The sequence below is a fragment of the Homo sapiens genome, chromosome 9 (genome assembly GCF_000001405.40).
Source record: "Homo sapiens chromosome 9, GRCh38.p14 Primary Assembly".
NCBI lineage: Eukaryota > Metazoa > Chordata > Mammalia > Primates > Hominidae > Homo > Homo sapiens.
In genome coordinates, this window is record NC_000009.12 from 45369437 (window position 1) to 45385120 (window position 15684).

Sequence of the window (15684 nt, forward strand, 5' to 3'; positions counted from 1 at the left end):
CATTCACGTCACAGAACTGAACTTTCCTTTTCATAGAGCATGTTTGAAACACTCTTTCTATACTACCTGCAAGCGGACATTTCAAGCGCTTTCAGGCCTATGGTGAGAAAGGAAATATCTTCAAATAAAAACTAGACAGAAGCATTCTCAGATACTTATTTGCGATGTGTGTCCTCAACTAACAGAGTTGAACCTTTTTTTTGATACAGCACTTTGGAAACACTCTTTTGGTAGAATCTGCAGGTGGATACTTGGATAGATTTGAAGGTTTCGTTGGAAACGGGAATATCTTCATATAAAATCAAGAAGGAAGCATTCTCAGAAACTGCTTTGTGATGTTTGCATTCAAGTCAGAGAGTAGAATATTCCCTGTTATATACCAGGTTTGAGACACTCTTTCTGCACTACCTGGAAGTGGACATTTGGAGCGCTTTGAGGCCTATGATGAAAAAGGAAATATCTTCCCATAAAAACTAGACAGAAGCATTCTCAGAAACTTGTTTGTGATGTGTGTATTCAACTAACAGAGATGAACCTTTCTTTTTACAGAGCAGTTTTGAAACACTCTTTTTGTGGAATCTGAAAGTGGATATTTGGATAGCTTTGAGGATTTCGTTGGAAACGGGATTACATATAAAATCTAGAGAGAAGCATTCTCAGGAACTTCTTTGTGATGTTTGCATTCACGTCACAGAACTGAACATTCCCTTTCATAGAGCATGTTTGAAACACTCTTTCTGTAGTATCTGCAAACGGACATTTCAAACGCTTTCAGGCCTATGGTGAGAAAGGAAATATCTTCAAGTAAAAACTAGACAGAAGCATTGTCAGAAACTTATTTGCCATGTGTGTTCTCAACTAACAGAGTTGAACCTTTGTTTTGATACGGCATTTTGGAAACACTCTTTTTGTAGAATCTGCAGGTGGATATTCGGATAGCTTTGAAGGTTTCGTTGGAAACGGGAATATCTTCATATAAAATCTAGACGGAAGCATTCTCAGAAACTGCTTTGTGATGTTTTCATTCAAGTCACAGAGTAGAATGTTCCCTTTTATATACCAGGTTTGAGACACTCTTTCTGCACTATCTGGAAGTGGACATTTGGAGCGCTTTGAGGCCTATGATGAAAAAGGAAATATCTTCCCATAAAAACTAGACAGAAGCATTCTCAGAAACTTGTTTGTGATGTGTGTATTCAACTAACAGAGATGAACCTTTCTTTTTTCAGAGCAGTTTTGAAACACTCTTTTTGTGGAATCTGAAAGTGGATATTTGGATAGCTTTGAGGATTTCGTTGGAAACGGGATTACATATAAAATCTAGAGAGAAGCATTCTCAGGAACTACTTTGTGATGTTTGCATTCACATCACAGAACTGAACATTCCCTTTCACAGAGCATGTTTGAAACACTCTTTCTGTAGTATCTGCAAACGGACATTTCAAGCGCTTTCACGCCTATGGTAAGAAAGGAAATATCTTCAAATAAAAACTAGACAGAAGCATTCTCAGAAACTTATTTGCGATGTGTGTCCTCAACTAACACAGTTGAACCTTTCTTTTGATACAACATTTTGGAAACACTCTTTATGTGGAATCTGCAAGTGGATATTTGGATAGCTTTGAAGGTTTCGTTGGAAACGGGAATATGTTCATATATAATCAAGACAGAAGCATTCTCAGAAACTTCTCTGTGATGTTTGCATTCAACTCATAGAGTTGAACACTTCCCTTCATACAGCAGGTTTGAAACACTCTTTTTGTAATATTTGGAAGTGGACATTTGCAGCGCTTTGAGGCCTATGATGAAAAAGGAAATATCTTCCCATAAAAACTAGACAGGAAGCATTCTCAGAAACTTGTTTGTGATGTGTGTATTCAACTAACAGAGATGAACCTTTCTTTTTACAGAGCAGTTTTTAAACTCTCTTTTTGTGGAATCTGAAAGTGGATATTTGGATAGCTTCGAGGATTTCGTTGGAAACGGGATTACATATAAAATCTAGAGAGAAGCATTCTCAGGAACTTCTTTGTGATGTTTGCATTCAAGTCACAGAACTGAACATTCCCTTTCGTAGAGCATGTTTGAAACACTCTTTCTGTAGTTTCTGCAAGCGGACGTTTCAAGCGCTTTCAGGCCTATGGTGAGAAAGGAAATATCTTCAAGTAAAAACTAGACAGAAGCATTCTCAGAAACTTATTTGCGATGTGTGTTCTCAACTAACAGAGTTGAACCTTTGTTTTGATATGGCATTTTGGAAACACTCTTTTTGTAGAATCTGCAGGTGGATATTCGGATAGCTTTGAAGGTTTCGTTGGAAACGGGAATATCTTCATATAAAATCTAGACGGAAGCATTCTCAGAAACTGCTTTGTGATGTTTTCATTCAAGTCACAGAGTAGAATGTTCCCTGTTATACACCAGGTTTGAGACACTCTTTCTGCACTACCTGGAAGTGGACGTTTGGAGCGCTTTGAGGCCTATGTTGAAAAAGGAAATATCTTCCCATAAAAACTAGACAGAAGCATTCTCAGAAACTTGTTTGTGATGTGTGTATTCAACTAACAGAGATGAACCTTTCTTTTTACAGAGCAGTTTTGAAACACTCTTTTTGTGGAATCTGAAAGTGGATATTTGGATAGCTTTGCGGATTTCGTTGGAAACTGGATTACATATAAAATCTAGGGAGAAGCATTCTCAGGAACTTCTTTGTGATGTTTGCATTCACGTCACAGAACTGAACATTCCCTTTCATAGAGCATGTTTGAAACACTCTTTCTGTAGTATCTGCAAACGGACATTTCAAACGCTTTCAGGCCTATGGTGAGAAAGGAAATATCTTCAAATAAAAACTAGACAGAAGCATTCTCAGAAACTTATTTGCCATGTGTGTTCTCAACTAACAGAGTTGAACCTTTGTTTTGATACGGCATTTTGGAAACACTCTTTTTGTAGAATCTGCAGGTGGATATACGGATAGCTTTGAAGGTTTCGTTGGAAACGGGAATATCTTCATATAAAGTCTAGACGGAAGCATTCTCAGAAAGTGCTTTGTGATGTTTGCATTCAAGTCACAGAGTTGAATATTCCCTTTTATAGAGCAGGTCTGAAACACTCTTTCTGCACTACCTGGAAGTGGACATTTGGAACGCTTTGAGGCCTATGTTGAAAAAGGAAATATCTTCCCATAAAAACTAGACAGAAGCATTCTCAGAAACTTGTTTGTGATGTGTGTATTCAACTAACAGAGATGAACCTTTCTTTTTACAGAGCAGTTTTGAAACACTCTTTTTGTGGAATCTGAAAGTGGATATTTGGATAGCTTTGAGGATTTCGTTGGAAACGGGATTACATATAAAACCTAGAGAGAAGCATTCTCAGGAACTTCTTTGTGATGTTTGCATTCAAGTCACAGAACTGAACATTCCCTTTCATAGAGCAGGTTTGAAACACTCTTTCTGTAGTATCTGCAAGCGGACGTTTCAAGCGCTTTCAGGCCTGTGGTGAAAAAGGAAATATCTTCAAATAAAAACTAGACAGAAGCATTCTCAGAAACTTATTTGCGATGTGTGTTCTCAACTAAAAGAGTTGAACCTTTGTTTGGATACAACGTTTTGGAAACACTCTTTTTGTAGGATCTGCAAGTGGATATTTGGATAGCTTTGAAGGTTTCGTTGGAAACAGGAATATCTTCATATAAAATCAAGACAGAAGCATTCTCAGAAACTGCTTTGTGATGTTTTCATTCAAGTCACAGAGTAGAATGTTCCCTGTTATATACCAGGTTTGAGACACTCTTTCTGCACTACCTGGAAGTGGACGTTTGGAGCGCTTTGAGGCCTATGTTGAAAAAGGAAATATCTTCCCATAAAAACTAGACAGAAGCATTCTCAGAAACTTGTTTGTGATGTGTGTATTCAACTAACAGAGATGAACCTTTCTTTTTACAGAGCAGTTTTGAAACACTCTTTTTGTGGAATCTGAAAGTGGATATTTGGATAGCTTTGAGGATTTCGTTGGAAACGGGATTACATATAAAACCTAGAGAGAAGCATTCTCAGGAACTTCTTTGTGATGTTTGCATTCAAGTCACAGAACTGAACATTCCCTTTCATAGAGCAGGTTTGAAACACTCTTTCTGTAGTATCTGCAAGCGGACGTTTTAAGCGCTTTCAGGCCTGTGGTGAGAAAGGAAATATCTTCAAATAAAAACTAGACAGAAGCATTCTCAGAAACTTCTTTGTGCTGTATGTCCTCAATTAACAGAGTTGAACCTTTGTGTGGATACAGCATTTTGGAAACATTCCTTTAGTAGAATCTGCAAGTTGATATTTAGATAGCTAGGAAGATTTCCTTGGAAACGGGAATATCTTCATATAAAATCTAGACGGAAGCATTCTCAGAAACTGCTTTGTGATGTTTTCATTCAAGTCACAGAGTAGAATGTTCCCTGTTATATACCAGGTTTGAGACACTCTTTTTGTAATATTTGGAAGTGGACATTTGCAGCGCTTTGAGGCCTATGATGAAAAAGGTAATATCTTCCCATAAAAACTAGACAGAAGCATTCTCAGAAAGTTGTTTGTGATGTGTGTATTCAACTAACAGAGATGAACCTTTCTTTTTACAGAGCAGTTTTGAAACACTCTTTTTGTGGAATCTGAAAGTGGATATTTGGATAGCTTTGCGGATTTCGTTGGAAACGGGATTACATATAAAATCTAGGGAGAAGCATTCTCAGGAACTTCTTTGTGATGTTTGCATTCACGTCACAGAACTGAACATTCCCTTTCATAGAGCATGTTTGAAACACTCTTTCTGTAGTATCTGCAAACGGACATTTCAAACGCTTTCAGGCCTATGGTGAGAAAGGAAATATCTTCAAATAAAAACTAGACAGAAGCATTCTCAGAAACTTATTTGCCATGTGTGTTCTCAACTAACAGAGTTGAACCTTTGTTTTGATACGGCATTTTGGAAACACTCTTTTTGTAGAATCTGCAGGTGGATATACGGATAGCTTTGAAGGTTTCGTTGGAAACGGGAATATCTTCATATAAAGTCTAGACGGAAGCATTCTCAGAAACTGCTTTGTGATGTTTTCATTCAAGTCACAGAGTAGAATGTTCGCTGTTATATACCAGGTTTGAGACACTCTTTCTGCACTACCTGGAAGTGGACGTTTGGAGCGCTTTGAGCCCTATGATGAAAAAGGAAATATCTTCCCATAAAAACTAGACAGAAGCATTCTCAGAAACTTGTTTGTGATGTGTGTATTCAACTAACAGAGATGAACCTTTCTTTTTACAGAGCAGTTTTGAAACACTCTTTTTGTGGAATCTGAAAGTGGATATTTGGATAGCTTTGAGGATTTCGTTGGAAACGGGATTACATATAAAATCTAGAGAGAAGCATTCTAAGGAACATCTTTGTGATGTTTGCATTCAAGTCACAGGACTGAACATTCCCTTTCATAGAGCAGGTTTGAAACACTCTTTCTGTAGTATCTGCAAGCTGACGTTTCAAGCGCTTTCAGGCCTATGGTGAGAAAGGAAATATCTTCAAGTAAAAACTAGACAGAAGCATTCTCAGAAACTTATTTGCGATGTGTGTTCTCAACTAAAAGAGTTGAACCTTTGTTTGGATACAACATTTTGGAAACACTCTTTTTGTGGAATCTGCAAGTGGATATTTGGATAGCTTTGAAGGTTTCGTTGGAAACGGGAATACCTTCATATAAAATCAAGACAGAAGCATTCTCAGAAAGTGCTTTGTGATGTTTGCATTCAAGTCACAGCAGTTGAATATTCCCTTTTATAGAGCAGGTTTGAAACACTCTTTCTGCACTACCTGGAAGTGGACATTTGGAGCGCTTTGAGGCCTATGTTGAAAAAGGAAATATCTTCCCATAAAAACTAGACAGAAGCATTCTCAGAAACTTGTTTGTGATGTGTGTATTCAACTAACAGAGATGAACCTTTCTTTTTACAGAGCAGTTTTGAAACACTCTTTTTGTGGAATCTGAAAGTGGATATTTGGATAGCTTTGAGGATTTCGTTGGAAACGGGATTACATATAAAACCTAGAGAGAAGCATTCTCAGGAACTTCTTTGTGATGTTTGCCTTCAAGTCACAGGACTGAACATTCCCTTTCATAGAGCAGGTTTGAAACACTCTTTCTGTAGTATCTGCAAGCTGACGTTTCAAGCGCTTTCAGGCCTATGGTGAGAAAGGAAATATCTTCAAGTAAAAACTAGACAGAAGCATTCTCAGAAACTTATTTGCCATGTGTGTTCTCAACTAACAGAGTTGAACCTTTATTTTGATACGGCATTTTGGAAACACTCTTTTTGTAGAATCTGCAGGTGGATATTCGGATAGCTTTGAAGGTTTCGTTGGAAACGGGAATATCTTCACATAAAATCTAGACGGAAGCATTCTCAGAAACTGCTTTGTGATGTTTTCATTCAAGTCACCGAGTAGAATGTTCCCTGTTATATACCAGGTTTGAGACACTCTTTCTGCACTACCTGGAAGTGGACATTTGCAGCGCTTTGAGGCCTATGATGAAAAAGGAAATATCTTCCCATAAAAACTAGACAGAAGCATTCTCAGAAACTTGTTTGTGATGTGTGTATTCAACTAACAGAGATGAACCTTTCTTTTTACAGAGAAGTTTTGAAACACTCTTTTTGTGGAATCTGAAAGTGGATATTTGGATAGCTTTGAGGATTTCGTTGGAAACGGGATTACATATAAAATCTAGAGAGAAGCATTCTCAGGAACTTCTTTGTGATGTTTGCATTCAAGTCACAGAACTGAACATTCCCTTTCATAGAGCAGGTTTGAAACACTCTTTCTGTAGTATCTGCAAGCTGACGTTTCAAGCGCTTTCAGGCCTATGGTGAGAAAGGAAATATCTTCAAGTAAAAACTAGACAGAAGCATTCTCAGAAACTTATTTGCGATGTGTGTCCTCAACTAACAGAGTTGAACCTTTCTTTTGATACAACATTTTGGAAACACTCTTTTTGTGGAATCTGCAAGTGGATATTTGGATAGCTTTGAAGATTTCGTTGGAAACGGGAATATCTTCATATAAAATCAAGACAGAAGCATTCTCAGAAAGTGCTTTGTGATGTTTGCATTCAAGTCACAGAGTTGAATATTCCCTTTTATAGAGCAGGTTTGAAACACTCTTTCTGCACTACCTGGAAGTGGACATTTGGAGCGCTTTGAGGCCTATGTTGAAAAAGGAAATATCTTCCCATAAAAACTAGACAGAAGCATTCTCAGAAACTTGTTTGTGATGTGTGTATTCAACTAACAGAGATGAACCTTTCTTTTTACAGAGCAGTTTTGAAACACTCTTTTTGTGGAATCTGAAAGTGGATATTTGGATAGCTTTGAGGATTTCGTTGGAAACGGGATTACATATAAAATCTAGAGAGAAGCATTCTCAGGAACTTCTTTGTGATGTTTGCATTCACGTCACAGAACTGAACATTCCCTTTCATAGAGCATGTTTGAAACACTCTTTCTGTAGTATCTGCAAACGGACATTTCAAACGCTTTCAGGCCTATGGTGAGAAAGGAAATATGCTTCAAATAAAAACTAGACAGAAGCATTCTCAGAAACTTATTTGCGATGTGTGTCCTCAACTAACAGAGTTGAACCTTTCTTTTGATACAACATTTTGGAAACACTCTTTTTGTAGAATCTGCAAGTGGATATTTGAATAGCTTTGAAGGTTTCGTTGGAAACGGGAATATCTTCATATAAAATCAAGACAGAAGCATTCTCAGAAAGTGCTTTGTGATATTTGCATTCAAGTCACAGAGTTGAATATTCCCTTTTATAGAGCAGGTTTGAAACACTCTTTCTGCACTACCTGGAAGTTGACATTTGGAGCGCTTTGAGGCCTATGTTGAAAAAGGAAATATCTTCCCATAAAAACTAGACAGAAGCATTCTCAGAAACTTGTTTGTGATGTGTGTATTCAACTAACAGAGATGAACCTTTCTTTTTACAGAGCAGTTTTGAAACACTCTTTTTGTGGAATCTTAAAGTGGATATTTGGATAGCTTTGAGGATTTTGTTGGAAACGGGATTACATATAAAACCTAGAGAGAAGCATTCTCAAGAACTTCTTTGTGATGTTTTCATTCAAGTCACAGAACTGAACATTCCCTTTCATAGAGCATGTTTGAAACACTCTTACTGTAGTATCTGCAAACGGACATTTCAAACGCTTTCAGGCCTATGGTGAGAAAGGAAATATCTTCAAATAAAAACTAGACAGAAGCATTCTCAGAAACTTATTTGCGATGTGTGTCCTCAACTAACAGAGTTGAACCTTTCTTTTGATACAACATTTTGGAAACACTCTTTTTGTAGAATCTGCAAGTGGATATTTGGATAGCTTTGAAGGTTTCGTTGGAAACGGGAATATCTTCATATGAAATCAAGACAGAAGCATTCTCAGAAACTGCTTTGTGATGTCTTCATTCAAGTCACAGAGTAGAATGTTCCCTTTTATAGAGCAGGTTTGAAACACTCAGTGCACTACCTGGAAGTGGACATTTGGAGCGCTTTGAGGCCTATGTTGAAAAAGGAAATATCTTCCCATAAAAACTAGACAGAAGCATTCTCAGAAACTTGTTTGTGATGTGTGTATTCAACTAACAGAGATGAACCTTTCTTTTTACAGAGCAGTTTTGAAACACTCTTTTTGTGGAATCTGAAAGTGGATATTTGGATAGCTTTGAGGATTTCGTTGGAAACGGGATTACATATAAAATCTAGGGAGAAGCATTCTCAGGAACTTCTTTGTGATGTTTGCATTCAAGTCACAGAACTGAACATTCCCTTTCATAGAGCAGGTTTGAAACACTCTTTCTGTAGTATCTGCAAGCGGACGTTTTAAGCGCTTTCAGGCCTGTGGTGAGAAAGGAAATATCTTCAAATAAAAACTAGACAGAAGCATTCACAGAAACTTATTTGCGATGTGTGTTCTCAACTAACAGAGTTGAACCTTTGTTTTGATACAGCATTTTGGAAACACTCTTTTTGTAGGATCTGCAGGTGGATATTTGGATAGCTTTGAAGGTTTCGTTGGAAACGGGAATATCTTCATATAAAATCAACACAGAAGCATTCTCAGAAACTTCTCTGTGATGTTTGCATTCAACTCATAGAGTTGAACACTTCCTTTCATAGAGCTGGTTTGAAATACTGTTTTTGTAATATTTGGAAGTGGACATTGGCAGCGCTTTGAAGCCTATGGTGAAAAAGGAGATATCTTCTCCTAAAAACCAGACAGAAGTATTCTCAGAATCTTTCTTGTGATGTGTGTACTCAAGTAACAGAGTTGAACCTTCATTTTGACAGAGCAGTTTTGAAGCACTCTTTTTGCAGAATCTACAAGTGGATATTTTGATACCTTTGAGGATTTCGTTGGACACGGGATATCTTCATATAAAATCTAGACAGAAGCATTCTCAGAAACTTCTTTGTGCTGTATGTCCTCAATTAACAGTGTTGAACCTTTGTGTGGATACAGCATTTTGGAAAAACTCCTTTAGTAGAATCTGCAAGTTGATATTTAGATAGCTAGGAAGTTTTCCTTGGAAACGGGAATATCTTCACATAAAATCTAGACGGAAGCATTCTCAGAAACTTGTTTGTGATGTGTGTATTCAACTAACAGAGATGAACCTTTCTTTTTACAGAGCAGTTTTGAAACACTCTTTTTGTGGAATCTGAAAGTGGATATTTGGATAGCTTTGCGGATTTCGTTGGAAACGGGATTACATATAAAATCTAGGGAGAAGCATTCTCAGGAACTTCTTTGTGATGTTTGCATTCACGTCACAGAACTGAACATTCCCTTTCATAGAGCATGTTTGAAACACTCTTTCTGTAGTATCTGAAAACGGACATTTCAAGCGCTTTCAGGCCTATGGTAAGAAAGGAAATATCTTCAAATAAAAACTAGAGAGAAGCATTCTCAGAAACTTATTTGCGATGTGTGTCCTCAACTAACAGAGTTGAACCTTTGTTCTGATACAACATTTTGGAAACACTCTTTTTGTAGAATCTGCAAGTGGATAATTGGATAGCTTTGAAGGTTTCGTTGGAAACGGGAATATCTTCATATAAAATCAAGACAGAAGCATTCTCAGAAAGTGCTTTGTGATGTTTGCATTCAAGTCACAGAGTTGAATATTCCCTTTTATAGAGTAGGTTTGAAACACTCTTTCTGCACTACCTGGAAGTGGACATTTGGAGCGCTTTGAGGCCTATGTTGAAAAAGGAAATATCTTCCCATAAAAACTAGACAGAAGCATTCTCAGAAACTTGTTTGTGATGTGTGTATTCAACTAACAGAGATGAACCTTTCTTTTTACAGAGCAGTTTTGAAACACTCTTTTTGTGGAATCTGAAAGTGGATATTTGGATAGCTTTGCGGATTTCGTTGGAAACGGGATTACATATAAAATCTAGGGAGAAGCATTCTCAGGAACTTCTTTGTGATGTTTGCATTCACGTCACAGAACTGAACATTCCCTTTCATAGAGCATGTTTGAAACACTCTTTCTGTAGTATCTGCAAACGGACATTTCAAACGCTTTCAGGCCTGTGGTGAGAAAGGAAATATCTTCAAATAAAAACTAGACAGAAACATTCTCAGAAACTTATTTGCCATGTGTGTTCTCAACTAACAGAGTTGAACCTTTGTTTTGATACGGCATTTTGGAAACACTCTTTTTGTAGAATCTTCAGGTGGATATTCGGATAGCTTTGAAGGTTTCGTTGGAAACGGGAATATCTTCATATAAAATCTAGACGGAAGCATTCTCAGAAACTGCTTTGTGATGTTTTCATTCAAGTCACAGAGTAGAATGTTCCCTTTTATATACCAGGTTTGAGACACTCTTTCTGCACTACCTGGAAGTGGACATTTGGAGCGCTTTGAGGCCTATGATGAAAAAGGAAATATCTTCCCATAAAAACTAGACAGAAGCATTCTCAGAAACTTGTTTGTGATGTGTGTATTCAACTAACAGAGATGAACCTTTCTTTTTACAGAGCAGTTTTGAAACACTCTTTTTGTGGAATCTGAAAGTGGATATTTGGATAGCTTTGAGGATTTCGTTGGAAACGGGATTACATACAACATCTAGAGAGAAGCATTCTCAGGAACTTCTTTGTGATGTTTGCATTCAAGTCACAGAACTGAACATTCCCTTTCATAGAGCAGGTTTGAAACACTCTTTCTGTAGTATCTGCAAGCGGACGTTTTAAGCGCTTTCAGGCCTGTGGTGAGAAAGGAAATATCTTCAAATAAAAACTAGACAGAAGCATTCTCAGAAACTTATTTGCGATGTGTGTCCTCAACTAACAGAGTTGAACCTTTCTTTTGATACAACATTTTGGAAACACTCTTTTTGTAGAATCTGCAAGTGGATATTTGAATAGCTTTGAAGGTTTCGTTGGAAACGGGAATATCTTCATATAAAATCAAGACAGAAGCATTCTCAGAAACTTCTCTGTGATGTTTGCATTCAACTCATAGAGTTGAACACTTCCCTTCATACAGCAGGTTTGAAACACTCTTTTTGTAATATTTGGAAGTGGACATTTGCAGCGCTTTGAGGCCTATGATGAAAAAGGAAATATCTTCCCATAAAAACTAGACAGAAGCATTCTCAGAAACTTGTTTGTGATGTGTGTATTCAACTAACAGAGATGAACCTTTCTTTTTACAGAGCAGTTTTGAAACACTCTTTTTGTGGAATCTGAAAGTGGATATTTGGATAGCTTTGAGGATTTCGTTGGAAACGGGATTACATATAAAACCTAGAGAGAAGCATTCTCAGGAACTTCTTTGTGATGTTTGCATTCACGTCACAGAACTGAACATTCCCTTTCATAGAGCATGTTTGAAACACTCTTTCTTTAGTATCTGCAAACGGACATTTCAAACGCTTTCAGGCCTATGGTGAGAAAGGAAATATCTTCAAATACAAACTAGACAGAAGCATTCTCAGAAACTTCTTTGCCATGTGTGTTCTCAACTAACAGAGTTGAACCTTTGTTTTGATACGGCATTTTGGAAACACTCTTTTTGTAGAATCTGCAGGTGGATATTCGGATAGCTTTGAAGGTTTCGTTGCAAACGGGAATATCTTCATATAAAATCTAGACGGAAGCATTCTCAGAAACTGCTTTGTGATGTTTTCATTCAAGTCACAGAGTAGAATGTTCCCTGTTATACACCAGGTTTGAGACACTCTTTCTGCACTACCTGGAAGTGGACGTTTGGAGCGCTTTGAGGCCTATGTTGAAAAAGGAAATATCTTCCCATAAAAACTAGACAGAAGCATTCTCAGAAACTTGTTTGTGATGTGTGTATTCAACTAACAGAGATGAACCTTTCTTTTTACAGAGCAGTTTTGAAACACTCTTTTTGTGGAATCTGAAAGTGGATATTTGGATAGCTTTGAGGATTTCGTTGGAAACGGGATTACATATAAAATCTAGAGAGAAGCATTCTCAGGAACTTCTTTGTGATGTTTGCATTCAAGTCACAGAACTGAACATTCCCTTTCATAGAGCAGGTTTGAAACACTCTTTCTGTAGTATCTGCAAGCGGACGTTTTAAGCGCTTTCAGGCCTGTGGTGAGAAAGGAAATATCTTCAAATAAAAACTAGACAGAAGCATTCTCAGAAACTTATTTGCGATGTGTCTCCTCAACTAACAGAGTTGAACCTTTCTTTTGATACAACATTTTGGAAACACTCTTTTTGTAGAATCTGCAAGTGGATATTTGGATAGCTTTGAAGGTTTCGTTGGAAACGGGAATATCTTCATATGAAATCAAGACAGAAGCATTCTCAGAAAGTGCTTTGTGATGTTTGCATTCAAGTCACAGAGTTGAATATTCCCTTTTATAGAGCAGGTTTGAAACACTCTTTCTGCACTACCTGGAAGTGGACATTTGGAGCGCTTTGAGGCCTATGTTGAAAAAGGAAATATCTTCCCATAAAAACTAGACAGAAGCATTCTCAGAAACTTGTTTGTGATGTGTGTATTCAACTAACAGAGATGAACCTTTCTTTTTACAGAGCAGTTTTGAAACACTCTTTTTGTGGAATCTGAAAGTGGATATTTGGATAGCTTTGCGGATTTCGTTGGAAACGGGATTACATATAAAATCTAGGGAGAAGCATTCTCAGGAACTTCTTTGTGATGTTTGCATTCACGCCACAGAACTGAACATTCCCTTTCATAGAGCATGTTTGAAACACTCTTTCTGTAGTATCTGCAAACGGACATTTCAAGCGCTTTCAGGCCTATGGTAAGAAAGGAAATATCTTCAAATAAAAACTAGACAGAAGCATTCTCAGAAACTTATTTGCCATGTGTGTTCTCAACTAACAGAGTTGAACCTTTGTTTTGATACGGCATTTTGGAAACACTCTTTTTGTAGAATCTGCAGGTGGATATTCGGATAGCTTTGAAGGTTTCGTTGGAAACGGGAATATCTTCATATAAAATCTAGACGGAAGCATTCTCAGAAACTGCTTTGTGATGTTTTCATTCAAGTCACAGAGTAGAATGTTCCCTGTTATATACCAGGTTTGAGACACTCTTTCTGCACTACCTGGAAGTGGACGTTTGGAGCGCTTTGAGGCCTATGTTGAAAAAGGAAATATCTTCCCATAAAAACTAGACAGAAGCATTCTCAGAAACTTGTTTGTGATGTGTGTATTCAACTAACAGAGATGAACCTTTCTTTTTACAGAGCAGTTTTGAAACACTCTTTTTGTGGAATCTGAAAGTGGATATTTGGATAGCTTTGAGGATTTCGTTGGAAACGGGATTACATATAAAACCTAGAGAGAAGCATTCTCAGGAACTTCTTTGTGATGTTTGCATTCACCGTCACAGAACTGAACATTCCCTTTCATAGAGCATGTTTGAAACACTCTTTCTGTAGTATCTGCAAACGGACATTTCAAACGCTTTCAGGCCTATGGTGAGAAAGGAAATATCTTCAAATAAAAACTAGACAGAAGCATTCTCAGAAACTTATTTGCCATGTGTGTTCTCAACTAACAGAGTTGAACCTTTGTTTTGATACGGCATTTTGGAAACACTCTTTTTGTGGAATCTGCAAGTGCATATTTGGATAGCTTTGAAGGTTTCGTTGGAAACGGGAATATCTTCATATAAAATCAAGACAGAAGCATTCTCAGAAACTTCTCTGTGATGTTTGCATTCAACTCATAGAGTTGAACACTTCCCTTCATACAGCAGGTTTGAAACACTCTTTTTCTAATATTTGGAAGTGGACTTTTGCAGCGCTTTGAAGCCTATGATGAAAAAGGTAATATCTTCCCATAAAAACTAGAAAGAAGCATTCTCAGAAACTTCCTAGTGATGTGTGTACTCAAGTAACAGAGTTGAACCTTCCTTTTGACAGAGCAGTTTTGAAGCACTCTTTTTGTAGAATCTGCAAGTGGATATTTTGATACCATTGAGGATTTCGTTGGACACGGGATATCTTCATATAAAATCTAGACAGAAGCATTCTCAGGAACTTCTTTGTGATGTTTGCATTCACGTCACAGAACTGAACATTCCCTTTCATAGAGCATGTTTGAAACACTCTTTCTGTAGTATCTACAAACGGACATTTCAAACGCTTTCAGGCCTATGGTGAGAAAGGAAATATCTTCAAATAAAAACTAGACAGAAGCATTCTCAGAAACTTATTTGCGATGTGTGTCCTCAACTAACAGAGTTGAACCTTTCTTTTGATACAACATTTTGGAAACACTCTTTTTGTAGAATCTGCAAGTGGATATTTGGATAGCTTTGAAGGTTTCGTTGGAAACGGGAATATCTTCATATGAAATCAAGACAGAAGCATTCTCAGAAACTGCTTTGTGATGTTTTCATTCAAGTCACAGAGTAGAATCTTCCCTGTTATATACCAGGTTTCAGACACTCTTTCTGCACTACCTGGAAGTGGACATTTGCAGCGCTTTGAGGCCTATGATGAAAAAGGAAATATCTTCCCATAAAAACTAGACAGAAGCATTCTCAGAAACTTGTTTGTGATGTGTGTATTCAACTAACAGAGATGAACCTTTCTTTTTACAGAGCAGTTTTGAAGCACTCTTTTTGTAGAATCTGCAAGTGGATATTTTGATACCATTGAGGATTTCGTTGGACACGGGATATCTTCATATAAAATCTAGACAGAAGCATTCTCAGGAACTTCTTTGTGATGTTTGCCTTCAAGTCACAGGACTGAACATTCCCTTTCATAGAGCAGGTTTGAAACACTCTTTCTGTAGTATCTGCAAGCTGACGTTTCAAGCGCTTTCAGGCCTATGGTGAGAAAGGAAATATCTTCAAGTAAAAACTAGACAGAAGCATTCTCAGAAACTTATTTGCGATGTGTGTCCTCAACTAACAGAGTTGAACCTTTCTTTTGATACAACATTTTGGAAACACTCTTTTTGTAGAATCTGCAAGTGGATATTTGGATAGCTTTGAAGGTTTCGTTGGAAACGGGAATATCTTCATATGAAATCAAGACAGAAGCATTCTCAGAAACTGCTTTGTGATGTTTTCATTCAAGTCACAGAGTAGAATGTTCCCTGTTA

At 37.4% G+C, this 15684-nt stretch overlaps 1 annotated feature.

The window, feature by feature from the left end:
• Positions 1 to 15684: part of a centromere (Linear centromere model derived predominantly from reads generated in PMID: 17803354. This region does not represent an actual centromere sequence, as long-range ordering of repeats and unmapped WGS contigs is not provided by the model. For details of model production, see http://arxiv.org/abs/1307.0035.) that runs on past both edges of the window.